This window comes from Homo sapiens, chromosome 22, assembly GCF_000001405.40.
Source record: "Homo sapiens chromosome 22, GRCh38.p14 Primary Assembly".
Classification (NCBI taxonomy): domain Eukaryota; kingdom Metazoa; phylum Chordata; class Mammalia; order Primates; family Hominidae; genus Homo; species Homo sapiens.
Window position 1 is genome coordinate 43,513,246 of NC_000022.11, and position 26,616 is coordinate 43,539,861.

Below are 26,616 nucleotides of genomic sequence, written 5' to 3' on the forward strand. Positions count from 1 at the left end.
AGAGGCGGGTATTCTGGCCGTCCTGACACTGGCCCACAGGTTTGACGGCGTCACGTTAATCCGACGTGAGCAGTAAGACATGGTTGGGATGCTCTCCAGATACCTGGGTAAAACTCATGCACCCTAGAGAGTAGGAGATATCCACAAAGATGCAGGAGTTGGCCACATTGGTTCAAATTTTAGGGGTCTGGAGGCATGGGGTGTTATGACCTGAATTGTGCATCCCCAGATCCATATGTTGAAGATCTAATCCCTACTGGGTGTGTATTTGGAGAAAGGGCCTTCGAGGAAGTAATTAAGGTTAAATGAGATCATAAGGTGGGACCCTATACCTTAATAGTACTGGTGTTCCTTTAAGAAGATGACGAACTGGCTGGGTGTGGTGGCTTACCCCCTAATCCCAGCTCTTTGGGAGGCTGAGGCAGGTGAATCATGAGGTCAGGAGTTCGAGACCAGCCTGGCCAATATGGTGAAACCCTATCTCTACTAAAAATACAAAAATTAGGCGTGGTGGCACATGCCTGTAATTCCAGCTACTCGGGAGGCTGAGGCAGAAGAATGGCTTGAACCTGGGAGGCGGAGGTTGCAGTGAGCCGAGATCACGCCACCGCACTCCAGCCTGGGCGACAGAGTCAAAAAAAAAAAAAAAAAAAGAAAGAAAAAAGAAGATGAAGAACTTTGGGAGGCCAAGGTGGGAGGATCCCTTGAAGCCAGGAGTTCAAGACCAGCCTGGGAAATATAATGAGACCTTGTCTCTACAAAAATTCAAAAAATAAGCTGGGCATGGTAGCACACACCTATAGGCCCAGCTACTCAGGAGGCTGAGGTGGGAGGATTGTTTGAGCCCAGGGATTCAAGGCTGCAGTGAACCGAGAACACCACTGCACTCCAGCCTTGACAATAGAGTGAGACCCTGTCTCTAAAAAGAAAAAAAATAGGCTGGGCGCAGTGGCTCACATCTGTAATCCCAGTACTTTGGGAGGCCGAGGTGGGCGGATCACCTGAGATCAGGAGTTTGAGACCAGCCTGGCCAACATGGAGAAACCCCATCTCTACTAAAAATACAAAAGAAATCAGCTGGGCTTGTTGGCGCGTGCCTGTAATCCCAGCTACTTGGGAGGCTGAGGCAGGAGAATCGCTTGAACCTGGGAGGCGGAAGTTGCGGTGAGCCAAGATGGTGCCATTGCACTCCAGCCTGGGCAACAGAGTGAGGCTCTGTCCCAAAACAAACAAACAAATAAATAAATAAAAGAAGAGGAAGAGACACCTGGTTCAGGCTTTCACTCGGCCTTTCCTGCTGGAATGGTTCTTACCCTGCGGGCGCAGGAACCAGCGTGGCCAGCTCCCACAGCACAAAGTTTCCAGTATTTGCGAAGTATTTGCGAAGCAAGAAGTGACCGTTGCCGGGGTTTGCGGACCCAGCGAACACATGGCAAGGGGCGGGCCTGGAAGGGACCCGCCCCCCGATTCCCTGACTCCATGCCTCAGTGAACACGCGGCAAGGCAGGCCTGGAAGGCTGCATTCCCCTGGCCCCCCGATTCCCTGACCTTACGCCCATTTTCTCCCAGTGGGCACGACGGTGTTTCAGTTTCCAGGGTGTCGGCATCAACTCCAGCCCTGGATTCCACCTCCTTTCCCCAGCATGTGTTACCGAAGCGAATGACAGAGATCCCTGCGGGGAGGCCCGGGGCGCCCTTCTCACATGCTGACCAGGGCATTGCAGGATCGGTGTTCACGCAGGCTCTGCTTCTTCCCCCGGTGATGGGTCCGGGTCTGAGAGCTGGATTCAAGTGGGGAAACTGGGGAGGGGATTGTTACTCCCCATTGGGGCTACTCCGTGAGGGCAGGGCCTGGCCTCCCAGTTCCTACTGCAGTCTGTGCCTGGCACACAGAGCCGAGGCTGGAGTGTGCAGAGGGGAGTAGATGGGGCCACTCTGGAAGGTCTCAGTGAGGGGCTCCCACTGACCCTGTGGGCACTGGGTGGAGGACAAGGGGGAGGTCTAAGCAGGGAAGCAGGCTCTGATTTGTGGTCTGGGAAGTTGGAGTGGGGAAGCTGAGGGGCAATGAGGCTCAGGCAGGGGCTGCGTGGGGGTGGTGCCTCCCAGACCCCTTCAAATGGGACCAGCTATGTCATATGTGGGGCCAGGTGCAAAACTGAAATTGCAGACCCCAGCTAGGGGTGGGGAGGTGAATCTCCCTTCCCATGGGCCGGCCACCCCAACCCACAGGTGGCCCCGAGGCGTCACACTCAACCTTAGAATTGGGAGTGGGCAAGAGGCCCCCACTCAGCCACCTGCTGAGCACAGCCTGGCACTGCCAGTCAGGCAGGGATGGCTGCTGCCTTCCTCATTACCTCCCGGACACTCCTGGGCACATACCTAACCCCAGTCCTCCTGGTGCAGGCCCCGGCTCTGGCTCCTGAGGGGCAGAAAGCAACAGTGGAAGGCAGGCCTCCCCCGCTGATGTGGTTCGTCCCCAGCCTGGGTGACATGCACCAGGGGTCATGGGACAAAGGTGGGGAGGGGAGCCCGGTGGCACTGGGGCACCAGTGGCAGGAAGTGCATGGCAAAGAACCTGACCCAGGAAGGCAGGAAGGGGCAGGAGTGCAGTGGAGGGTGGGACAGCTCAGGAGTCAAGGTGCCATGCTCCATTGTTTCATCAGACTTCACTTACAAAACATCTGTTGAAGATATAATTAAGAATAAGGAGACCACAGCAAAGCCTTAACCCCAAGTGCAGGCTCCTTCTGTGCGCTCGGCCCCTGGCAGCTGCCCTGGTTGCACGCCTGAGAAGCTGGCCCTGTCTGCAAGTCTGATGTTGGGCAAGGCCTTCAGCCCCTGTTGCAGCCACAGCGCCCTCCTGAGGCATGGGCGGGGGGTGCCGGCCAGCCTGGGAAGGAGCTGGGATAGACACCTGGGCTCGTCCTTCACACCTCCACGGAGATGTCTTCACCGTCTGAGCCGAGAACACCTGCCCAGAGTCTTGCTTTGGGAAGATATATTTGCATATCTGAAGTACCAGCTATAATAGAAAAGCCGCCGTGGAAACGTCTTCTTGGGGTGCCCCCGATCGCAATAACAGTCTGGGTGCACCATGACAGCTTTCGCTATGCACACAGTCACTTGGAAAGGTAAGCATATTTGAAAAGCGGGGTGGGCGGAGATAAGACGTATTTCCCAGCCTTTCAAACGCCCTTCATTCGTGCTTGCCGTCAGCTTCTGCCCTTCTCCTGCCTGGTCAGAAACGGTTCAGATGGGGATGGGACCCTCAGGGAGCGGGGTGTCAGGGGGTGCTTCTGGCCTCCTGGGAGAGGCCTGCAAGCAAGGACAGGGACCTTCCTTCCTGGCCCTGCGGCTCCTCCTGGAAGGTGAGAGAAGCTGGTGGGACCTGCCCACTCACTGTGGCCAGGCTGCTTCCAGCCACGGTGGGGGTTCGTGGTTATCGTGCCTCCGTTGAGAACCCCCTCTTCACATATGGCCTGGACATATGGTCCTCCATGCAGCCTCTGGAAAGAGGCAATCACCACTCCACTCTGCGGGGGTGGACAGTGTGGATCAGTGGCTTTGCCAAGGTCACAAAGGTGGATGGTTAATCCTGAGTTGGAGCCCAAGCTTTCGTCATTTGACAATCACTCCACATGGATGGTGTGCCCTGCTTTCAGGCTCTATTCCAGGCAGGGGGCTACTGCTGGAGTTTATACTTCCTGGGGAGAAAGACAATAAAGCCAGGGCCAAGCCATCTCAGAGCTGCCAAGTGAGGGTTCCGAGGCCAACAAAACAGTCACAGGGTATGGGGTGACCACGGAAGGGGACCAGGTCACATCAGGCTTCCCGAGGAGGACTCCAAGATGATAAGAGGGCGCCAGCCATGTTCAGAGCTGAGGATAGAGAGAACGTGCCAGGCAGAGGGGCTGGCAGGTGCCAAGGCCCTGGGGCAGGAGCAGGCTGAGCCTCTCCAAGGAATATAACAGAGCCCAGCATGGTAGAGTCAGACAGAGTGAGGGAGGGTGAGTGAGGTCCACAGGGGCAGGGATGCTCCCTAGGCTGGGTCCTGGGGACAGACAGGCAAATGGCCCAAGTTCCCTGCCCTTAAGGGAGGCCTGTTATCCAGTGCCACAGTAACTGTGTGACAGCCCCGTCTCCGTGGCACACAATGTGTTTAGGGCTCCCACATCTGGGGTCCGCGGGGTCAGTGAGGTGCTCTGCTGAGCCTGGCTGGCTGTTGCCTGACACAGGATGAATCAGTCAGGGTGACTGGGTGACTGGACTATGTCCCACTTCTCTCTCGCCCTTCGCGGACCTGCCTGGGTGTGCTTTCATGAATGACAAAGGGGCAAACCCAACGGTAAGTCGAGTCAGGCACTTGTTTTTTTTGGTTTTTGTTTGTTTGTTTGTTTTGTTTTTTTGAGACAGAGTCTCACTTATCTCTCAAGCTGGAGTGCGGTGGTGAGATCTTGGCTCACTGCAACCCCCGCCCCCTGGGGTCAAGCGATTCTCTTGCCTCAGCCTCCCGAGTAGCTACTATTACAGGCAAGCACCACAATGCCCAGCTAATTTTTGTATTTTTAGTAGAGACAGGGTTTTGCCATGTTGGCCAGGCTGGTCTGGAACTCCTGACCTCAAGTGATCCACCCACCGTGGCCTCCCAAAGTGCTGGGATTACAGGCGTGAACCACCGCGCCCTTTTTTTTTTTCTTTAAAAACAATCTTTGTATTTTGCCTGGCATGGTGAGTCATGCCCGTAATCCCAACACTTTGGGAGGCTGAGTCAGGAGGGTCTCTTGAGCTCAGGGGTTTGATACCAGCCTGGGCAACAGAGCGAAATGCTGCCTCTACAAAAAAATAAACAAAATTAGCTGGCCATGGTGTCATGTGCCTGTAGCCCTAGGAACTTGAGAGGCTGAGGTGGGAGTATTGCTTGAGCCTGGAAGGTTGAGGCTGCAGTGAGCTGGGATCATGCCAGTTCACTCCAGCCTGGGTAACAGAGGGAGACCCTGTCTCAAACAAACAAACAAACAAAAAAAACCGTTTTTTATTTTGAAATACTTTTCCTTTTGAGGAAGAGTTGTAAGGCTAATACAGGGAGTTCCTCCATACCCTTCAGCCAGTTTCCCCTGTATATTCATGATACATTTATCCAAACTAAGAAATCAACACCAGTACAACACTGTTAAATATAGTCTTTATTTGGATGTCAACAGTTTTTGACTAGTGTCCTTTTTCTGTTCCAGAATCCAATCCATGATCCCAAGCTGCCTTTAGTCATCATGGCTCCCAACTGTCTTCCAGTCTAAGATGGTTTCTCCGTATTTCCTTGCTTCCTCTGGCCTTGGAAGTTTTGAGGCGTGCTGGGTGAGTATTTTGCGGACTGTCCTTCAGTTTGTGTTTGTCTGCTGTTTTCTCATGATTAGTCCGGGGTTATGTATTTTTTAGAAAAATCCCACAGAGGGGAAGGTGCCATCTCAAGTCATCCATCTAGGGTAATGCGAGAGGAGCAGGATGCATTCCTGGCGATGTGCATCTTGATCCCTTGGTTAAAGTGACGTCTGCGGGTTTCTCCACTGTAAAGATACTGTTCTTCTTTATCCACATTCAATTTGTTAGAAGCGAGCCACTAGGTCCAGCTCCACTCAAGGAGAGAGGAGTTAAGCCTCTCCCCCTGGAGGGAGGAACATCAAAGGATTTGTGGGCATCTGTTAGAACCAGCACGGTAATTAATCAATATTTGGGGGAGATATTGTGAGGCCACGCCAATATCCCATTTCTCCTTCAAGTTTTGCCCACTCATTTTAGCAGCCGCCAGTCGATCTCGGCTTCAGCAATTGCCACTGTGGTGCTCACATGGTGACCTTCCATTTCCTCATTCCTTCTGCATTCATCCTTTGGAATTCTTCTGTAAGGAAGATTTGCCCCCTCTCTGCTGTTTATGCACTAATCTCAGTCTGAACTCATTATTTCATTCTTTAGGTTAGAAACTGATTCTATCATTATCTGTTTCGTTGCTTCAGTGGTTGCAGGTTTGTCCGCTGGAAGCTCTGGTAAATCAGCTCCTGATTCCTTTTGTTTATTAATTTCAGTTCCTTACTTTCAGGCACCAGAAGATGTTCTAGGCTCCTCTCATATTTACCTTGCCCTGGCCTTAGAATCAGTCATTTGTCCAGAGAGCCCTAGCTCCTTTTACTTAGAAACTGAGATCTAGGGCCAGGTGCGGTAGCTCACGCCTGTAATCCCAGCGCTTTGGGAGGCCAACGTGGGCAGATCACTTGAGGTCAGGAGTTCGAGACCAGCCTGGCCAACATGTCGAAACCCCGTCTCTACTAAAAATACAAAAATTAGCCAGGTGTGGTGGCACACACCCGTAATCCCAGCTACTCAAGAGGCTGAGGCAGGAGAGAATCACTTGAACCTGGGAGGCAGAAGTTGCAGTGAGCCAAGATTGTGCCACTGCACTCCAGCCTGGGTGACAGAGTGAGACTCCATCTCAAAAAAAAAAAAAGAAAAAAGATCTGGGTGGTAGGTGTGCTGGTTGCAACTTGTGGCATCACTGCTTCTAGGCCTTCTTAGACACAGAGCTAGGAAATATATTTAGTGTACTAACCCATTTATGCACACATATTTATCTATCTCTACCTGTATCCAACCATCCACCCATCTATCAACCTACTACCTATCATCTATCAATCATCTACCCCATCTCTCCATCCCTGTCTCTATCAATAAACATTAATTCATACTGATAGCCCCACCTCCCGTCCTGACCCAACAATGCAATCTCAGCAATGCAGCTGATTCTTGCTTTTCTACCTTGTTCATTTATAACCTGTTATTATTATTTGAGACAGGTTCTCACTCTGTCACCCAGACTGGAGTGCAGTGGTGTGATCTCAGCTCACCACAACCACCACCTCCTGGGCTCAAGCAATCCTCCTGCCCCAGCCTCCCAAGTAGCTGGGACTACAGGTGCATGCCACCACGCCTGGCTAATTTTTGTATTTTTTGTAGAGATGGGGTTCTGCCATGTTGCCCAGGCTGGTCTCAAACTCCTGGCTCAAGAGATCCATCTTCCTCGGCCTCCTAAAGTGCTGGGATTACAGGCGTGAGCCACTGTGCCCTGCTGCTCATTTGTAACTTTTTTCTTTGACAGTGGATGGTGAGAAGGCTGGCTCCCACAATTACAATTTACTTATGGATTTGTCCACCCCTAACATACCTACGGCTTATTGCTCATCTTACCCTTGTGAGAAGCACAGTTTCCAGCCAGAGTGCGTGTCCACGTGCAGGCTTTTCATTTGCAGCTTTATGAAGTTACAGTGGTCAGTTCCTCCCCCATCGCCTTTCAGTGTGGCTAATGTCATCCGTTTGCAATACAGTTGGATTATTTTGTCCCTGGTCTGCTTTCCATCCTAGGATCCCCTGACCTCCTGGCTGATTACTTATTTGCATAAAGTGACGTTCACTCTCCATCATGTACCGTCCTGTGGGTTTTGACAAATGCATAGAACCCAGTATCTATTATCATATGATCATGGAGGACAGTTGTTCCATCACCCTAAAAATCCCCTTTTTCAGTCCCTGTGTAGTCAAACTGTTTCCAAAATGGCTGTATGAGCTTGCAGTCCTACCAGCCATGAATGTGTATTCCTGCTGATTCATATCATCACCAGAATTGATCTTATTTTTAAAAATTGTAGCCATTTGAGTGTGCATGTGGGTGTTTCACCATGGTTTTAATTTCTATTTTCCTAATGACTAATGATAAGCACATCCTTCTTGTGCTTATCATTCTCATCTATTCATTTGTGGGAGTCTGTTTAGATCTTTCATCTCTTTTTAAAAAAATCAGGTTGTTTGTTTTCTTGCTGTTGAGTTTTAAGAGTTCTTTATATTCTGGATACAAGTTTTTTTTTTTTTTTTCTTCCAGTCTGTGGGTTCTCTTTTTACTCTTTTAACAGTGTCTTTCTTAGAGCAAAATTTAAAAATTCTGATATAGTTCAATTTATCCATTTCTTCTTTTATAGCTCGTGCTTTTGGTGTCATATCTAAAAATCCATTTCCCATCTCCAAACCCAAGGTCATGTAGATTTTCTCTCATGCTTTCTTTTAGGAGTTTTTTTTTAGTTTTGTGTTTTACATTTAGGTCTACAATGCCTTTTTTCTTTCTTTCTTTTTTTTTTTTTTTTTTTGGAGTCTTGCTCTGTCACAGGCTGGAGTGCAGTGGCATGATCTCAGCTCACTGCAACCTCCGCCTCCCAGTTTTAAGTGATTCTTCTGCCTCAGCCTCCCAAGTAGCTGGGACTACAGGTGTGCACCACTATGTCCAGCTAATTTTGTATTTTTAGTAGAGATGGGGTTTCACCATATTGGTCAGGCTGTAATTTTTGTATTTTTAATGGAGGTGGGGTTTTGTCATGTTGGCCAGGCTGGTCTCGAACTCCTGACCTCAGGTGATCCGCCTGCCTCGGCATCCCAAAGTGCTGGGATTACAGGTGTGAGCCACCGCACCCGGCCTAAAACTGAATATTTTAAATAATGTAGTTTGGCAACTTTGGAAGTAAGATCCCGTCCCCTCCCCTGTCCCCTCCCCCTTCAATGCCCTGAAGGATTTGTTGCTGCTGCTTGTTGTAGTTGGCTTTGTTTGTTTAGTGACTCTTCCATGTGAATTCTTTAAGGTCTGCATTCTCTGTCATGTGTGGCCACGGAAATTTCCTTTCAGTTATTAGCTTAGTGGTCAGCTGATGATGAGACAGAGGTTTCCTTAAACACTTGGAACCAATAAATTTTTCAGTCCCGCTCACACCTGTAATCCCAGCACTTTGAGAGGCTGAGGTGGGCGGATCACCATCCTGTAGACCATCCTGGCCAACATGGTGAAACCCCGTCTCCACTAAAAATACCAAAATTAGCCGGCCGTGGTGGCACACGCCTGTAATCCCAGCTACTCGGGAGGCTGAGGCAGGAGAATCGCTTGAACCCGGGGAGGTTGCAGTGAGCCGACATCACGTCACTGCACTCCAGCCTGGTGACAGAGTGAGACTCCGTCTCACATAAATAAATAAATAAATAAAATAAAAATAAAAAATTTCCCAGTCTCTGCTGAAATGCTCTGAGTGCCTGTCAGGACGCACCTTCAACATTCAGCCAGGTGGCTGGCCACTCTGCATCAGCCTTCACTTTCTGCTGGTGCAGCAAGTCAGCCAGAGGTGAGAGTGTAGGGCCTTTTTAATGTCTTTTCTGAGCATGCTCACAACCCCGGGCATACACACAGCACTGTCTACATTTGTAGCTTTCTAGATTCTCAAGAAATATGTTGGTGTTTTTTAAGGCCTCCACGTGACATTTTATTTCCCAGCTTTTCCTTTTAAGCTTTCTGAGTAGCCTTTTGATTACCCCAGCTGTTATCCATTGCCTTAGGCGGCCACCAAGTTAAAACACTTTCTTGTTTTTGTTTTTTGTTTTGTTTTTTTTTTTTTTTTTTTACAAATACTCCCTCCTTAACTCTGGGAGAAAGGTTTTTTACACCTGGGCAAGCTCCGAGTTAGGCCCAAAACAGCCAGCCTTGCAAAGGGCATCTTTCAGGGATCCACCATGCAGGCCAAATAGCGACCATATTTTGGTGAAATAGGCTTTGAAGTTGCTCCAGCTCTGTTCTGCTCTGTGTGGTGACTATCACACTGAACTGGGAATGCAGGCTGTTATTTTCTAAGGCTGTTGGGGACCTGGAGAGTGGCTGGTTGGACTAGGGCAGTTAAAATGCCACAAGTCGGCTGGGTGCAGTGGCTCACACCTGTAATCCCAGCACTTTGGGAGGCTGAGGCAGGTGGATTATGTCAGGGGTTCGAGACCAGCCTGGCCAACGTGGTGAAACCCCATCTCTACTAAAAATACAAAAACTAGCCGGGCACGATGGCGCATGCCATAGTCCCAGCTACTTGGGAGGCTGAGGCAGGAGAATCACTTGGACCCGGGAGGTGGAGGTTGCAGTGAGCTGAGATGGCACCACTGCACTCCAGCCTGGGTGACAGGGCAAGACTCCGTCTCAGAAAAAAAAAAAAAAAAAAAAGCCACAAGTCTTGCCAACGCTCAGCTACTTTTCTTGAATAAGTGCCCCTTCGGTTCCTGCAAGCCTTTGGATAATTTCTAGAGTTCTCAAAAAAGTTGATCCTGACCATTGTTGCCAGTTTTCTTGCTGCTGTTTTGGAGGAAAGGTCTTTTGGAGGGCCTTCCTCTGCCATTTCTGCTGATGTAACCCTTCATGATTCCCTTTTATCTCCTCTGTTCACTTGTTAATTTTACCTTTTGCAAGTCTATTTTTAAAAGTATATTTTTAGTGATTGCTCTATGGTTTATAAATACATTATAAAACAATCTGTCTTCAATTATATCATATTGCTTCACATGCAGTATAAGAAACTTTTAACAGTACACTCTGAATTCCTTCTGCCCATCCCTCGTGCTTGTTGTTGTACTTTTAAATGTGGTGTAAACACATAATACACTGTGACAGATTTTGCTTTAGATGGCTAACTTTTAAAATAATTTCAGGTATAAACATATTTTATTTTACCTTTGATTATATCACTTCTGATACTCTTCATTTCTTTGATAGATCCAAATTTCTGACTCAATCATATTCCTTCTGCCTGTAGAACTTCCTTTATTTATTTATTTATTTATTTATTTATTTTTTGAGACAGAGTCATGCTCTGTCACCCAGACTGGAGTGCAGTGGTGTGATCTCGGTTCACTGCAACCTCCACCTCCTGGGTTCAAGCAATTCTCCTGCCTCAGTCTCCCAAGTAGCTGGGAGTACAGGTGCCCACCATCATGCCTGGCTAATTTTTGTATTTTTAGTAGGGACGGGATTTCACCATGTTGGCCAGGCTCATCTCAAACTCCTGACCTCAAGTGATCCACCCGCCTTGGCCTCCCAAAGTGCTGGGATTACAGGTGTGAGCCACCGCACCCAGCCTAAAATTTATTTTATGGTAAGTATGCCATCAGTGAGTTCCTTCAGTTTTTGTGTGCCTAGAAAATCCAATGTATCTCTTTATTTTTGAAAGGTATTTTGCTGGTTACAAAATTTGAGCTTGATGATTTTCTTTCAGCACTCTGAAAATGTTATGCCATTGTCTGCTGGTTAGCATGGTTTCTGAGAAGTATGCTATAATTCTTATCCTTGTTCCTCTGTAGGTCATGTACATCTTTTTTCTCTAGCTGCCTTCTTTTTTTTTGCAGCAATTCGAATATGATATTCCTAGAGGTGCGTGTGTGTGTGTGTGTGTGTGTGTGTGTGTGTGTGTGTGTGTGTGTGTGTATCCTGCCAGGTTCTATATGCTTCTGTTCTCTGTTGTTTAGTGTTTGTAACTAATTTTGGAAAATCCTCAGCCATTATTTATTCAAATATTTCTTCTGCACCATGTTCTCTTTCTTTTCCTCCTGAATTATGTGCATGTTAGACTTTTTTTTTTTTTTTTTTTGACACAGAGTCTCACCGCTCTGTCACCCAGGCTGGAGTGCAGTGGTGCGATCTCGGCTCACTGTAACCTCTGCCTCCCGGGTTCAAGCAATTCTCCTGCCTCAGTCACCTGAGTAGCTGGGATTACAGGCACACACCACCATACCCCACTGATTTTTGTATTTTTAGTAGAGACGAGGTTTCACCATGTTGGTCTTGAACTCCTGACCTCATGATCTGCCCACCTCGGCCTCCCAAAGTGCTGGGATTACAGGCATGAGCCACTGTGCCCGGCCCCATATTAGACCATCTTATACTGTCCCACAGCTCTTATATATTCTGCGATTTTTCCCCACTCTTTTTCTCTCTGCATTTAGGTTTAGATACATGCTATTGACCTATCTTCAAGCTCACTCATTCTTTCCTTGGTTATGTAGAATCTACTGATGAGCGAGCCTGTCAAAGGCAATCTTCATCTTTATTACTGTGTTTTTTTTATTTCTAGCCTTTCTGATTCTTGCAGTTTTCATCTCTCTGCTGAAATTGGCTGGTCGTGTGTTGTCTTTCTTTTCCATTAGCGCTCTAACACATAAACCAGTTATTTAAACATTTTTCTAATGGTTCCAAAATCTGTCATGTCTGAGTCTGATTCTTGTGATTGCTTTGTCTTCTCAAACTGTTTTTATAATTGCCCTTGGTATACCTCAAAATTTTTTGTTGAAAGCCAGACATTTGTATAGCAGGGCCCAGCAAACTTGCTCTGTGGAGGATCAGATAGTAAATATTTTAGGCTTTGAGGTCCACATACATGCAGTCGGTTGCATTTCTTGTTCTTTTCTTCCTTCCTCTTTCTCCTCCTCCTTCTTCAACCCTTAAAAATGATGGACCCTCAAGGCTGCTGAACAGGTTCAGACTAATTGTACTGACTCAGCCTCAGGAAGTCAGGAAAGCTTCGTGGAAGAGGTGGCTTTGAGAGTTTCGAAGGAATACCCGGCATTTCCTGAGGAGTAGGTGGAAGAAACTGCTGGTGCCAAGTGCAAAGATATGTAAGAACAAGCATGGGGAAGCTGAAGTCCAGCACACAGGATGGGATCTGGGCACCCAGGTCGGGCCTCCAATGCTGAGGCAGGGCACATGGGCAGGGCATCCATCTGCCCCTCACCACTAAGCATGCAACCCTCCATCATGGTGGGGATTTTAATAGGTTACTTTGCAAATTTGGGGACACACTTTCAATTTCTGGGGTTGGAATAACAGCCGGCAGATGCCAAGCCTTCTTTCCAGAGCTCATTGAAAGCTCAGTGTCACCTGATTTGTTTTTACAGGGGAGACTGCATTTTAAAACTGTTATGTCAGAGTGTGGTGCCAGCAGTGCTGGTGGGACATGCATGGGAAGATCCAGAACTTGTTTTGCCAGAAGCTGGGAGATGTGGCCAAGAGAATGTGGGTCTGACCCCACAGCCACCTCCTAGTGCTATGGGGAGTCCAGCACTCACAGACTCCATCCACAGAGAAGCCCCCAACACCAGAGTTGCTCCCCAACTTGCCAGCACTCCCTGCAGAACCTGGTCAGCTTTCCTTCTGGGAAAGGGACCCAGAGGCTGTGCCCTGCCAGCATTAAAGCACCTGCTGTGTGCCAGGCTGGGGGCGCAGGTCAGTGTTCTCACCCTATGGGTGGAGTCTGGGCCCAGCAGTGGGTGCAGAAGGGAGTGACTCTCTCTGCCAAGCGGTGACAGCATCGAACGGGGAGCTCAGCCTCTGCCCAGGGGTTACAGGAGGATTGGAGCTGGGCCTCAGAGGAAGAGTACGCGGGCTGTGCAGATGAGAACAGAAGTAGTCCCAGAAGGAGGAGCCAGCAGGAGCCAGGGCTTGGAGGCAGGGATGTGGGCACAGGGCTGAGTGAGTCCTGGTGCTGCCTGCAGGGGAGCCTGCCCGCCCACCTTCAGGGCCTCTGACACTGGCTTGGGCTGTTACTCACTGTCTGGGCCAAATCCTGCAAGCTGTGAGACTCTGGAAAACTTCCGGTACCTCAGTTTCCTCATCTGTCAAATGGGGATGCTCACAGGAGTCTAAATGATGATGTGTGTGAAGCGCTGGGTTTGAGTCCCACACACCTGTGCTTACTGGGTGCTGGCACTGCCCTGTCCCAGCCTGAGCCCCGCACACCTGTGCTCACTGGGCGCTGATACTGCCCTGTCCCAGCCTGAGCCCCACACACCTGTGCTCACTGGGCGCTGATACTGTCCTGTACCATCCTGAGTCCTGCACACCTGTGCTCACTGGGTGCTGATACTGCCCTGTCCCAGCCTGAGTCCCGCACACCTGTGCTCACTGGCTGCTGATACTGCCCTGTCCCGGCCTGAGTCCCGCACACCTGTGCTCACTGACTGCTGGCACTGGCCTGTCCTCAGCCTGAGTCTGGCATGCCTGTGTTCACTGGGAGCTGACACTGCCCTGCCTCTGGCCGGAGTCTCAGGCTGGTGCCCCTGGCCCTCACAGGCCTTCCTTATTCTGGGCTGAAGCCTCTCTCATGGGAACATCTGCTGCCCACAGGCCCAGGTCCCACAACAAAGGTGACACAAGTGTGGTCCCACCATTTCTACAGATGAGGACGCTGAAGGGATGGGACCTGGTACAAAGTCACATGGAGGAGCAGCTGGGGTCCAGGGCGTCTCTGTCCCGTAATCACTGCATGGCCCTGTTGATGTGCCTACTCAGGGTCCCCTTCCCCTTCCCTGAACTTGGGGCTGCCTGAGCACCCCGTTCCCCCTGCAGCGGTCCAGCCTGAAATGAGGAGGAAACTAAGGACAGATGGAAACAAAGGTGACCCCAGGAAACATTTTCCAGGAAATAGAAGGCCTGCGCGGGCTGGGCGGGAGCCTGTCCTCCCAATCACACCCATCCAATGCGCGGCTCTGCCACTCAGGGAGAGATCTGCTCACCTCAGGGTGTGGCCTCATTTGGACCCTGTGCAGGGGCAGGGAAGGGCGTTTTGGTGGGCAAGGCCTGGGGCCCAGGTGGAGGGGAGGTGCTCCCCCCACACCCCATATCCTGCCTGCTGCTCCCCAGTTCCTTGGAGAACCTTCCAGAAGGTGGCAAACGCTGCCTGAGTCTCTCAGCTGAGTCACAGTCCATGAAAGCGGAGTGACGATTTTCAAACTTCTCTTGTCAAACCTGTCAGTTCCAAGGAAGGGCCCTCTCAGAACTGTCCCTGGTGGGGGTTACGGCCAGTGGCCACTAGGCTTGGGCTCAGGAAGGCGGAGGGAGGCCCAAAGCTCCAGGGGGTCTCACTCAGGCGTGAGTTGCTCTTCATGGAGTCAGGCTGGCTGGCATCCCTGAGCAAGACAGCGATGGGGCGGTCAGTGCCTGTGCCTCTAGGAGCAGAGACATGGCCACCCTGACTGCAGCAGGGGGCTCAGATGTCCTCTGATCCAGGACCCAGGAAGCTGGGGGGTCAAAGGAGGCAGCAGTCCTTGGGTAATGGGGTGCAGGGCCCCAACTGCTCTGGACTGGAGGAGACACCTGGCAGGGGCCATGAACAAAACCTCCGGAAAGTCCAAGCTTTTAAGAATGTTAGCGCAGAGGCTCATGCCTGCAATCCCAGCACTTTGGAAGGCTGAGGTGGGTGGGTCACCTGAGGTCAGGAGTTCGAGACCAGCCTGGCCAACATGGCGAAACCCTGTCTCTATTAAAAATACAAAAATTAGCCGGGTGTGGTGGGTGCCTGTAATCCCGGCTACTCGGGAGGCTGAGGCAGGAGAATTGCTTGAACCCAGGGGGCGGAGGTTGCAGTGAGCCGATAGCGCCACTTCACTCCAGCCTGGGCAAAAGAGCCAAACTCCGTGTAAAAAAAAAAGTTAGCATTAGTAATTATTTTATAGTGTCAAGAATCATTCTTGCAAAGATTATTTGTTCAGACTAACAAGTGAGGGTGCCCAAGACATAGTGGTAGCACCTGGCACCTGGAGAGCAAGCATCCTATGCCAGAACCCAGGGCAGCTGTGCCTACCCCCGACCCAGAGACAGGCGGGCTGGGCTTGGGCTTGAGTTTTGTTTTTTTTGAAAATTCATGAAACCCCCAAATTATAGGATTTTATTAGCCTTGAAACAGGCCCTGTGGCTGTCGTCCCGCTGGGCACACAGCAGGGGTGTCTACTGGAGGAATGCCCGGAGGAAGTCGTTGTAGGAGATTTTTGAAGACAGCGTCTTATCGTAATACTCCAGAATATGGAAGAACTCTTCCTCAGAGAGGTTGATGCTGTACTGTCTCAGGACCTGGAAGACAGAGAAAAGGGGCCTCTGAGGCTTGTTTGGTGCCCTAGGTTAAGGAGGCAGGCTGCCAGGAAGGGGCTGGGGGACACATCCACCTGATCCCCAACCCCACTTCCGATGTCAGCCTCCCATCTGTGCGCTCTCTCTATGCCCTCTCAACCTCTGCCCAAACAGGAAGCAGCCTCCAAGGGCAGCCCTGTGTGCATCTGGGTGTGAAACTGGAGCAGACAGGAGGTTGATCACCTTTGCCTCCCTGAGGGGCTGAAGGCTGGTCAACGTATTCAGACAAGGCTGATGATCAGAGAGGTGGGGGCTCAAGGGGAGACCTGGCCATGCAGCCCTAACTTGGGGCAGAGCCTCAGGGTGCGCCCAGGCAGGGGAGGGCAGGGCCAGTGGGTGCTGAGTGCAGAGAGTTGCTGTGATAAGACCGTAACAGAGCCTGGAGCAGAGCCTGCTGGTGGTAAACCCAATACTGACTGCCCCTTCCTCTTCAGTTATAGAACCTGACTCTCTCCCAGCTCCTCTGTATCCAGCTAACCGGGAACATGTCTCAGCCTCTCTTGCAGCTAGGTATGTTCTGGCCTGAGAAGCTAAGTAAGAATGTTATGTAGAACATCCAGGAAGCCTCCTTTAAAGGAGAGGGGCATGCCCTTTTCTCTCCTGTTTTTCCACCTGCTGCCTGGAATATGGCTGTGATGCTGGGGCTCCAGCAGCCACCTTGGATCATGAGGTGGCCTAGAGGAAGGAAGCCAGGAGTTGAGAACAGCAGAGCAAAAATGTGGTCCCTGATGATTGTCCAGCCACCACACCAGCTCTGACCTTCCTACCTCTGGACTTCTTTTATGTGGGAGTGAAATAAACTTTCACCTTAAGCTGCTATTTTCCCCGCCCCATTATGTGAAGCTGAAACAAATCCTGACAGACCCTCATAGTATATAAAGATGAGGCCATACATTTCCTATCCACATTTGCGTTATAACTTGTTTCTAGGAGGAGACTGGAAAGCAGGGCTAGATGGCCCAGAGGTCCTATGGGGCTGAGGTCAGCAGGCCTGGCCATTGGGCCCCATGGGATGAAGGCAGAAAAGGAAGCTGAGCCTGGTGTCTGAGACGGCCCCTCAATTACGCCATCTGATCTGTGACTCTGTGGAGGGCAAGGTTTCTTTTGCCACCTTCCCAGCACCACGCCCGAATTCCTGGGAAGTTGCCGGAAGGGAATAACAGAACCTGCCCTACTTCCTTCCTTTCTTTGCATGAGGGATAGGGAGAATCCCTGACTGAGATTTATACTTAACCCCGAAGGAAAGAGGAACGTGAATGTGGATTGGAAAACCACTGCGGGGTGTTTGTTAGGCTCTGGGGGTGGGACATGGAGGGCACCCAGGGACATCAGGGCAGATGCCCAATGGTGGAGCCCCGCTGTGTACTGCAGGGGCAGGGCTCACTTTGCAGGCCCCTTGGAAGGTCCAACATAGGTCAGAGATGCTCTTCAGAGCCTGCAGGAGAGCCCAGGTGTGGGGAGAGGGCTCGGAGCAGCAGCAGCAGTGATGGCAGTGCCTTAAGGAACCTGGGCTCAGGCACTGACCCTGAGGAGCTGGCGATGCAGGTATGGGGCATCCACGCAGGGCTCCAGCAACCTTTGGGAAGGAGAACCCGGGGTCTGAAGGTGAGGCGAGTGGACCCAGGACTGGATAACTTGGGGGTCCCAGGGAAGTGAGATCTGAAGCAGCCAGGTCACACCGGGCCTTCGGCAGCAGGTAGAGGGCTCCCCGTGGGAAGTTTCTGGCCGCTGGCATTTGGCAGCTGCTCCCTGCAGAGGCACTGGGCGCAGAGCTGTGCTCACCGTCCTGAAATCTGCGACGCTTAGCAGCCCTGTTCCAGCCTCATCATAGCTTTTGAACGTGCGCCGCATTGGCCTCCAGCAGTGCACAATTTTGGGCTGAATACGCAGCAGAGCAGAGTAAAAAGATGGCGTCTCCGCGCCGGCTTCTTTCTAGACACAAGACAAGAAGGGGTGAGGAGGGAGCTTTTGAACACGAGGGTTGGGGTGGGCTCCTCCTCGCCTCGCCCCCGCCTCGCCCAGCCCTGCTCCGGCTTCACCTCCCAACCTGCTCCGCTGGCTCTGAATCGAGGAGGGAGCCTGCCAGAACTCGTCACAAAGATGCGCACCCGCCCCCTGACCATTGTGTGGGCTGTTTAAAAACGTGTATTACATCAGCCATCTCATTTACACCTCCCCACTGGCAACCCGGAAAGAAGGCAGGTCTCTATCCCCACTTCACAGATTAGGAAGTGGAGACTCGGGGAGGTAAAGTGACTTGGGCTTTGACCCCAACACACTTCAGGCCACACCACCTCCCAGGGAATGCAACGAGATGGCCGGGCAGATATGGGCCAATTTGAAAATAGTTTGAGGAAAAAAAGAGATTTCAGTCTGTGTTTTCTAGTAAGTTATTATAATGAACAGTGTTAAAAAAAATTCACAAGGTTGTAATTATATCTAGTAATTAGAACACTACACTGTGATTACTTCATTTAGGTGCTATTAGATTGAAAACAAGACATTTGAACATGATTTAGCCCCAATGTGTTTGAATATCACAAAGGTGAACGGTAGGCAACAATGCGTAACACATCTTGGGAAAGTTGAATTTTAACATAACACTATGTAAGACAGATGAGCACAGGGTTAAGCTGCTTTCATTTTTTTTTTACATCATTTGGCACGTATGATGTGTGCTCCCCAGGTACCCAAGACTTCATGAGCTGCCAATTTGCCCAATCAGCTGATCCACAGGTGGGGAAGAGAGGGTGTGGGGCTCACATGACCTCCCACACCACACATCACAGGGCAGGACCACCAGCCCGGCCAGAGCCCCCACCTCTGACCCACCTTGCAGGGAGGGGCGGCACCCAAGCTGCCTTCCCCCGAGGACATCTTTCTGCTGCCTAATGGGGTGGAGAAAGCTCCCAAATCACCAGAAAATGAAGTCCCCTTTTTAGCTCCTCTGCAGGGAGACATTTGACCTGACCTCCACACTTACATGGTGGTGGCCTTGGCAGCTGCCAGATGGGACAAGGGCTGTGACCAGGACCATGTCAGGAGCCTACTCTCTCCTGAAAAGCCTTCAATCTCAATCCACTCCGGTCTGGTGCAGGGATTTGAGGAGTGGGGGCGGGAGAACTCTTCGGAACCACAGAGTGGTGCCTTGGGAGGGGCGGGGGGAGAGTGCCACAGTCTCTGTGGGCTGACCCGCAGCACCTAGCATGACCCCACTCTGACCCCAGCTTTGCGGGGTTGCTGAGGACGGACAGTGCAGCTGGAAGCTGGGAACTGGGGTGGCCCCTTTCACTGGGGAGGGCTCAGAAGGCGGCACTGGTGTGCTCTTCCGCAGAAGCCCGTGCACGTCCTAGCAAGGTCTTAGAGCCTCCACAGATCTCCAGAAGGAGAAACTGAGGCCCAGGGAGGCGGAGGAAGGATGGAATTGATGGCGGCCTTGCTGCCACGTGTCTCCATGTTCTCCACGTTCGTGGCTCCCGTGAAGATGGAATGGGGACAGTCTTTTCTCTGTGCACAGAAGAACTGAGCTGGCAGAACTGTCTAAAGTCTTTTTTTTTTTTTTTATTGTAAACTTGGTCTAAGCTTTTGATACTAGCTCCTGTTTGTCTAAACTAGAAGCTAGGCTAAGATGGAACCTGATTTTGCACAAAATTGCAAAACTAGCTGTGAAGAAACTTTCTGCATGGCATCTACTTAACTGTGGCTGGCTTAACCCACTCTCCATTCCCTAGAGTCTCACCACTGTGGCCCAGGCAGGTGTGGCCCTTGGGTGGGGTGAGTGGGAGCGGGGCCAGGTGGGGGGTGGGGCCAGGGCCAGGGCTTTCAGCCCGACACTTCTGGTCCCTCCATCTGAGTCATAAGGTGGTCGGAATCAGCTGTGTTTGTTCCCCAAATCGACAGCACCAGATGTACTTGTACTTGTTATTTAATTCAGCGTAACTCAATTCAACGTTAATTCAGTACTAAAAACATTTTTTGGCTTCATGTTTTGGAAGGGCTGGAGCTGACGCCATGATGGCACTGGGTGTGGGTTTCAATTGTGGAACTGTAAGTGGCTGAGAACCAAAGGTAAAAATCTGGAAGAACTGTGTACCCTCCAGCTGCCCTTTAAGTGGCTTTAGGTTTTCATTCCTCTTCAAAGAAACAGAGAAAACTGTAGACAATGCATGGTGGGTGTAGTTTCCGCCAAAAATGATGACGAGAGACTCCATCCACCACACACACTCAGAGGAAAGGGCCTGGCCCCATCTCAAATGGCTGGTGGATGAAGACCCTTTTAGTTCCAATGTTGACCAGTGCTGTGACCCACCCCACCCCTCACTTTGCCTTTTGGGTCACCTGAGCAGGCACTGCCTCCAGGGCACTGTATGACACCTTGGTCACACAGACGCCTGGGAAGAGCCACCATAACCAGGTGTCTGCCACCTGAACAGTTGGAAAACCTGGGATCAAGGCTACTGGTTCCCATTCTGGGGTCTCCAGACCCTTATAGGGTTCTAAAAGGAGAGGAAGAAAATCTTAAATTACTTTCAAGAAAATACATTTCTGAGCTGTTTTCAATATCCCCAAAGCCTAGTAGAGGCCTTGTCTTTACCGCAGCCCTTGCCTCCCAGGTGCGAGCCCCCAGCACACAGGCTGTGGGCTTTTTGCCCCCTTCGACAGACCCTGGCGTCTCATGCTGACCTGACAACTGCCTGGCCCTCTTGAAGTAACGGAGCAAATGGGGTGGCTAAGTATTGCTCACGTTATCACATGCGTATAGAGATCATCTGAGTAGGGTCTATGGGGCAGGTGGCAGCAAGGCCGGGGACATTTCACAGATGAGTCCTGGCTGGAAGCAGGACTGGGCTGGGCTGGGCTCTGGCCTCCTGGAGCCTCTGAGTCCACCTTTTCTGTGAAGCTAGGTGATCCGCAAGTGCGACAAATTAACAAAAACAAGGCTGGGTGCGGTGGCTCATGCCTGTAATCACAGAACTTTGGGAAGCTGAGGTGGGTGGATTGCTTGAGCCCAGGAGTTCAAGACCAGCCTGGGCAACATGGCAAAACTCTGTGCTATGGTTTGACTCTGTGTCTCCACCCAAATCTCTTCTCAAATTGTAATCACCAGTTGTCAAGGGAGGGACCTGGTGGGAGGTGATTGGATCATGGGGGAGGTTCCCCCTTGCTGTTCTTGTGAGAGTGAGTGAGTTCTCATGAGAGCTGATGATTTTAAAAGTATTTGGCAGTTCCCACTTCACTCTCTCTCTCACCTGGCACCATGTAAGACGTGCTTGCCTCCCCCTTCACCTTCTGCCATGATTGTAAGTTTCCTGAGGCCTCCCCAGCCATGTGGAACTGTGAGTCAATTGAACCTCTTTCTTTTATAAATTACCCAGTCTCAGGTAGTATCTTTATAGCAGTGTGAAAATGGACTAATACATCCCATCTCCACAAAAATACAAAAATTAGCTGGATATGGCAGCTTGTGCCTGTGGTCCTAGTTAGTTGGGATGCTGAAGCAGGAGGACCACCTAAGCTGGGAGTTTGAGGCTGCAGTGAACCGTGAACCACTGTTCTCCAGTCTGGGCAATAGAGTAAGACCCTGTCTTGAAAAAAATAAAAATGAAAGCGCCCCTTTCCACCTGGCCCCACATTTCCTGCAGGTGGGCAACATACCATCTTGTGTGCATTCTGGATCTTCATCCTGTGCATCAGTGAGCTTTCCTTTGCTTTTAGCAGGAGGACACAGCTCTGAATGAAGTCACAGTATGCAAATTTCCCGTTGCTCTTTAAGTCGTATTTTATAATGAGCTGCTGACACTCCTCTTTGCTTATGTCCAGGTTGAATTTCTCCACAAGAGCTACAGAAAAAAATGGCAGTTCAATTGGTGGCGATTCATTCATTCATTCATTCTTCACTCATTCATTCAACACTTGCTGAGACACCTTCTCTGCTTCAGGCCCTGGCTTGGTCCTCACATCAAAGAACTCACGGTTGGTGGCTGGACATATGTGGAGACAGACATGTGACAAACTAAGTGCCGCAGGGAGGGGGACCCTGAGTCCCGCTGGCCCACACTGTCCTGGGTTTGCATGGTCACAGCTTATGGACAGAGACTATGGGAGCTATGACCAAAACACAGAGAGGGAGGTAAGGGGGTGTTCCCCGCCGTGTCAGGGCAGAGTCAGGTGTGTGAGGAGCAGGGGAAGGTTCCCTGAGCTCATAGTGAGCCTGGCTGGGGCTGGACTGTGGGGATGGAATTCAGACTCAGCCCTATGACCAAGTATTTCCTAACGGCACCAGAGACAGGTTCTCTAGTGTCTGTTATGCAAGGCAAATTCTCGCTTTAAGTTTCCATTCCATTGATGATCTAAAAATATATACAACTTATTCTGGATACAGGGACCACCTTTAGGAGATAACAGCTGTGCAGCCTCAGGGGCTGAGTCCAGCTTTCTGATCAGGCTCATGTGGATGCTCCACGGGGAGTGTTGCTGGTGGCCGAGAGGCTGGCCCACCGGAACCTCTGAAGAGCAAGGCTCGCCCCACGCTTGGCACTCATCCTCATGCCGCATTCTCCTGCCAGTTGTAAAGACAACACTTCTCTGGGAGTGACAACTCATAATTGAAGGAGGCTTATGTAAGATAAGATTTGAGTTGAAGTTTCATAGACTAGACTTTGTTTTGACATCCTGAAAGAACAGAATGTCAGGGAGTGGAATGCTGTGTGAGTTGTTGAGGCAAATGAGGAAGGCCAGTGGAAGCAGACTGCAGGCAAACGACACCTGCATGCCAAGCCAGGCCAAGAGAGGCTGTTGCACGTTCTAGAAGCAGAGATTTCTTTGCCCTTGCACACAGGGAAGCAGCAGCAGGTCACGGTGCCTGTCAGGACATAGCGGGGGCCCATGGAACCCCAAGGAACTGGCCCATACATGCCTCTGATGCTCTGACTCACAGAAGGCCATCAGCAGTGAGGAGAAAATACAGAATGACTTTTGGAAAGCAATCGGCTTTTTTTTACAGTATTGAATTTTGGATGCATGACTAACATCTGACAAGCCTATCATAATAACTGAGTGGGGACTTAAATGAGTTCATGGTTGAAAAGAAAAAGCCAGCAGTAGCAATAAGGACAGTAACACAGTGAAGGTTTATCACTCTCAAAATCAAAGAATTAACTAAAAAAAAAAGGGAACGCCAATATGTGTGACAACCAACATGCGTGTTTTGGCTTCAGCAAAACGTTACATTAAATCAATGAACAACATTTGAATATTACTGATTTCAGATTTTTTATACTTAATTTACAAGTGTTTTTTAATAGGCTCTAACTTAAAGAGTTTACACCTGGTTTCATTTGTGCATTTTAAGGTCATGATTATGATAAAAGTAATTTATATTAATATTGGAGGCTCTCAAAGAAAACATTTTCCTTTAAAAGGAGTCTGTATATTAGTCATGTGTTGGGGGAGCTAAAAAGCCAAGGAGTGACATGGTCAGATGTATTTTCCTGTAATGTAAAATGTTGAATAAACAAGATGTAACTGGGCCGGGTGTGTTGGGTCACACCTGATCCTAGCACTCTGGGAGGCTGAGGTGGGCAGATCTCTTGAGATCAGGAGTTTGAGACCAGCCTGGCCAACATGGTGAAACCCGTCTGTACCAAAAAATACAAAAACATTCAGGCATGGTGATGCATGCCTGTAATCCCAGCTACTTGGGAGGCTGAAGTGGGAGAATCACTTGAACCTGGAAGACGGAGGCTGCAGTGAGCTGAGATCATACCACTGTACTCCAGCCTGTGTGACAGTAAGACCCTGTTTCAAAAACAAACAAACAAACAAAAAACCAAAAAACAACAAAACAACAAAAAACAAAAAAACCAAGATGCAATATTTACTGGAAGTATAAATCCCACTGGTTTAATTTTAAAAGTTTACCAAAGTGATACATGCTGAAAAACGAAACAACATCAAAGAGTGAATGTTGATGGGAATGGAGCCCCAGGAGTGTCCCCTTCATCCCGCCCTCCTCCACCTTTTCCATTTCCTTCTGCAGTCAGAGTCTGTGAACATTCACACTCTGCCCAGGGTGGCAACCACTGTGATTTCTAAAGCTCAGAGTTAGTGCAGCGCTGACTTTACCATGCAGATGGGCCCCCTGCTGGGAGGGCCGGGTAGTCGGAATCCTCCTCCATGGGGACCTTTGTATAGTAAGCTGCACAGCCCACCCAGAAGTTCCCACCAGTTTCCTGTTCTGCTGCTCCCTGGCCTCCACCCGGGGTGTGGCTTTGTACCCAGTGGGAACAGCCTCTTGCCACAGGGGCTGACCACATATTACCAAGCAGATAGAATCTGAACGAACCCAGGAAATCGGAGGCGTTGATGTCCCCCTGTCTGGCCACGTCCTTCTCCTTGCATTCTTTCAGGAGCTGGCGCCAGCAGCCCTGGATTCTCTTCCGGAGCCTGCTCTCTATGGGATCACAGTTCTGCAAGGGTGGAGTGCCCGGGATCACGGTGGTGCTCGCTGGAGTCTAGCAGGGAAGAAAAGAAAAGGCTCTTTTCACTTAAGATTTAAAACGGAAGTCATCAAAAATACCTCAATACCTCCAGTTTTGAGGTTCACAATTTTAGAGGCAGAATTAGCCCAGAAATAAAATGAAGAATAAAACATAGATGGTGATTTTACAATGTAGCTTTTATTTCCATTGGTGGGCTATATGTACTTATGCCAAGCCATAATAACCAAAATAATTTTGGAAATAGCCATGTAGCCAAGGTTCAAATCTACACAGATGAGATGTAAACATATTTCTGCTGTGTGTGTGTGTGTGTGAGAAGTGACAACGACAAATTTTTTCACTAGCGGAAGAGTCTTATCCAAGAAAGGGATTTACTTGTCCTGGGCACAAGACATCCAATCCGTAAACATTCACAGAATATCTGTTATTTAGACATTATGTGGATCAAGTACGAGGCTGTTCTTTGCTTTATTGTATTTCCTATTTAAAAACAAGGGAGTGGCTCTAATCTAGCCCAGGTTTTTTTTCCTGAAGTCCCCGTTGACAAGTGGTTATCTAAATTAGTAACTTATGCAATTCCATTGGATTCCTGGTTTTTCTCTCAAACCTCAGAGCCTCCTGCATCTCAGTTGATAATTAGGTCCTTCTTCCAGTTGCTCAGCCTGAACCCTTAGAAGTCTTCCTTGACTCTCCCTCACCCTCTCCATCCCACATCTGATCCCTCAGGAAATCCTGTTGGCTCTACCTTGATGATACATCCAGAGTCTCACCAGCACCCCATCCCAAGCCACCATCGCCTCTGCTAGACCTCCTCACCGACCCACACCCCCAGCATCCAGAGTGTTTTTTGTTTTTTTGTTTTTTTTTTTGTTTTGAAATGGAGTCTTGCTCTGTCGCCAGGCTGGAGTGCAGTGGTGCAATCTCGGCTCACTGCAACCTCCGCTTCCCAGGTTCACGCCATTCTCCTGCCTCAGCCTCCCAAGTAGCTGGGACTACAGGCGCCCACCACCATGCCTGGCTAATTTTTGTATTTTCAGTAGAGATGGGGTTTCCCCATGTTGGCCAGGATGGTATCGATCTCTTGACCTCATGATCCACCTGCCTCGGCTTCCCAAAGTGCTGGGAGTACAGGTGTGAGCCACTGCACCCGGCTCCAGAGTGGTCTTTAAAGAGTCCCTCAGATTATGTCACTTTGCTGCTTAAAAATAAGCAAAGGCTCCATACCCCTTGAGTGAATGCCAAAGTCCTCATCATGGCCTCCAGGCCTCCAGCCTCCTACTGCTGCTGTAACAGATTTCCGTGAATTTAGTGGCTTAAAACAACACCAACTTATTATCTTACAGTTCTGGAGGTCCAAAGTCTGAACTGGGTCTCATTGAGCTAAAATCAAGGTGCCCAGTGGCTCAAGGGGAGAATCCATTTTCTTGCCTTTTCAATTTCCAGAGGCTTCTCACAATCCTTGGTTTGTGGCCCCCTCCTCTCTCTCCAAAGCCAGCAGTGTTAGGTGGAATCTTTCTCAGATTGCATCTCTCTAGCCCTGAGCCTTCTGCCTCTGGATTCCCAGTTAAAGACCCATGTGATTACCCTGAGCCCACCTGCTTACTCCAGGATACTCTCCCCAAAGCCAGCTGATTAGCAACTTCAGTTCTGTTTGCAACCTTAACTTCCCTGGCCATGTAAGACAACATAGTCACAGCTTCCAAGGATTAGGACACAGGCATCTTTGGGGTGCTCCTGACCCCTCTTCCCTCTGCTCTACTTACCGCCTTTTAATGTAATAAACACTTATGCATACTGCTTTTCTTGCCTATTACCCCTAAAAGAACACAAACTCCACAAGAGCAGGAACCTTAGTTCATTCTCAGCTATAGAAAATACCCAGCACACAGTAGGTGTGCAATAAACTTGCATGGAGTTAATGAGAATGGACTAGCCAAGGTCAAGGTCACGCATAGTGATGGTGGCTTCATGTGCATGGTGTGGCATTCTCTCAACCACCCTGTCCTGATGACATTGCCATCCCTTTCTGCAGACAAAAAAAGAGGCTTGGCAAGCCTGGGCACCTTCCTCCGTCCCAGGCCTGGGGTGGCTCAGCCAGGGCTCCAGGCTGTGCAATTTGACAGGCCTGGGCTTAAAATCAGGTCGCTCCACGTCTGAGGGACCAAGATCACATGAGAATGCCTCTTAGAGCCTCACTGTGTTCAACTGGAAAATGGGTATAACTTGCTTCAAGGGACGGTGGCCCGCAGTTGACCACAGGGCTTTGCCTTCTGCACAGAGTTGCCGGCAGCACCACTGCACTGCGGACAGGTGCCTCCCGCCCTGCCT

General features: G+C 50.0%; 1 protein-coding gene and 1 long non-coding RNA gene across 19 annotated transcripts in view, besides 4 other annotated features; one reads left to right on the forward strand and one right to left on the reverse strand.

The window, feature by feature from the left end:
* Positions 1,357–2,115: an enhancer, noted in NCBI's record as "H3K4me1 hESC enhancer chr22:43910482-43911240 (GRCh37/hg19 assembly coordinates)". NCBI's record gives its function as "activates a minimal SCP1, AML or CMV promoter by ChIP-STARR-seq in naive H9 embryonic stem cells {active_cell/tissue: H9 hESC(naive)}" and the evidence as "EXISTENCE:reporter gene assay evidence [ECO:0000049][PMID:30033119]".
* Positions 1,390–1,737: a silencer, noted in NCBI's record as "fragment chr22:43910515-43910862 (GRCh37/hg19 assembly coordinates)". NCBI's record gives its function as "represses an EF-1alpha promoter that drives an FKBP-Casp9 reporter gene in an ReSE screen in HepG2 liver carcinoma cells {active_cell/tissue: HepG2}" and the evidence as "EXISTENCE:reporter gene assay evidence [ECO:0000049][PMID:32094911]".
* Positions 3,009–23,360, forward strand: EFCAB6-AS1 (EFCAB6 antisense RNA 1). The gene is made up of 3 exons (NR_046563.1): positions 3,009–3,131; positions 5,232–5,352; positions 21,608–23,360. It is a non-coding gene; the product is annotated as an EFCAB6 antisense RNA 1 (long non-coding RNA).
* Positions 14,448–14,947: an enhancer, noted in NCBI's record as "H3K27ac hESC enhancer chr22:43923573-43924072 (GRCh37/hg19 assembly coordinates)". NCBI's record gives its function as "activates a minimal SCP1, AML or CMV promoter by ChIP-STARR-seq in primed H9 embryonic stem cells {active_cell/tissue: H9 hESC(primed)}" and the evidence as "EXISTENCE:reporter gene assay evidence [ECO:0000049][PMID:30033119]".
* Positions 15,533–26,616, reverse strand: part of EFCAB6 (EF-hand calcium binding domain 6) — a 283,528-nt gene continuing 272,444 nt past the window's right edge. For 13 of the 18 annotated variants that reach the window (XM_047441462.1, XM_011530319.4, XM_011530317.4 and 10 more), the window contains 4 exons: positions 24,132–24,300; positions 21,443–21,627; positions 17,312–17,719; positions 15,533–15,730 (listed from right to left, as the gene is read on the reverse strand). In XM_047441462.1, the coding sequence (XP_047297418.1) occupies positions 15,608–15,730; positions 17,312–17,719; positions 21,443–21,627; positions 24,132–24,300 (885 nt within the window). In that variant the 3' untranslated portion in view covers positions 15,533–15,607. Of the gene's footprint in view, positions 15,731–17,311; positions 17,720–20,125; positions 20,284–21,442; positions 21,628–24,131; positions 24,301–26,616 lie in introns of those variants that run through there. The other 5 variants (NM_198856.3, NM_022785.4, XM_017028911.3 and 2 more) reach the window with 3 other exon arrangements.
* Positions 23,630–24,131: an enhancer, noted in NCBI's record as "NANOG hESC enhancer chr22:43932755-43933256 (GRCh37/hg19 assembly coordinates)". NCBI's record gives its function as "activates a minimal SCP1, AML or CMV promoter by ChIP-STARR-seq in naive H9 embryonic stem cells {active_cell/tissue: H9 hESC(naive)}" and the evidence as "EXISTENCE:reporter gene assay evidence [ECO:0000049][PMID:30033119]".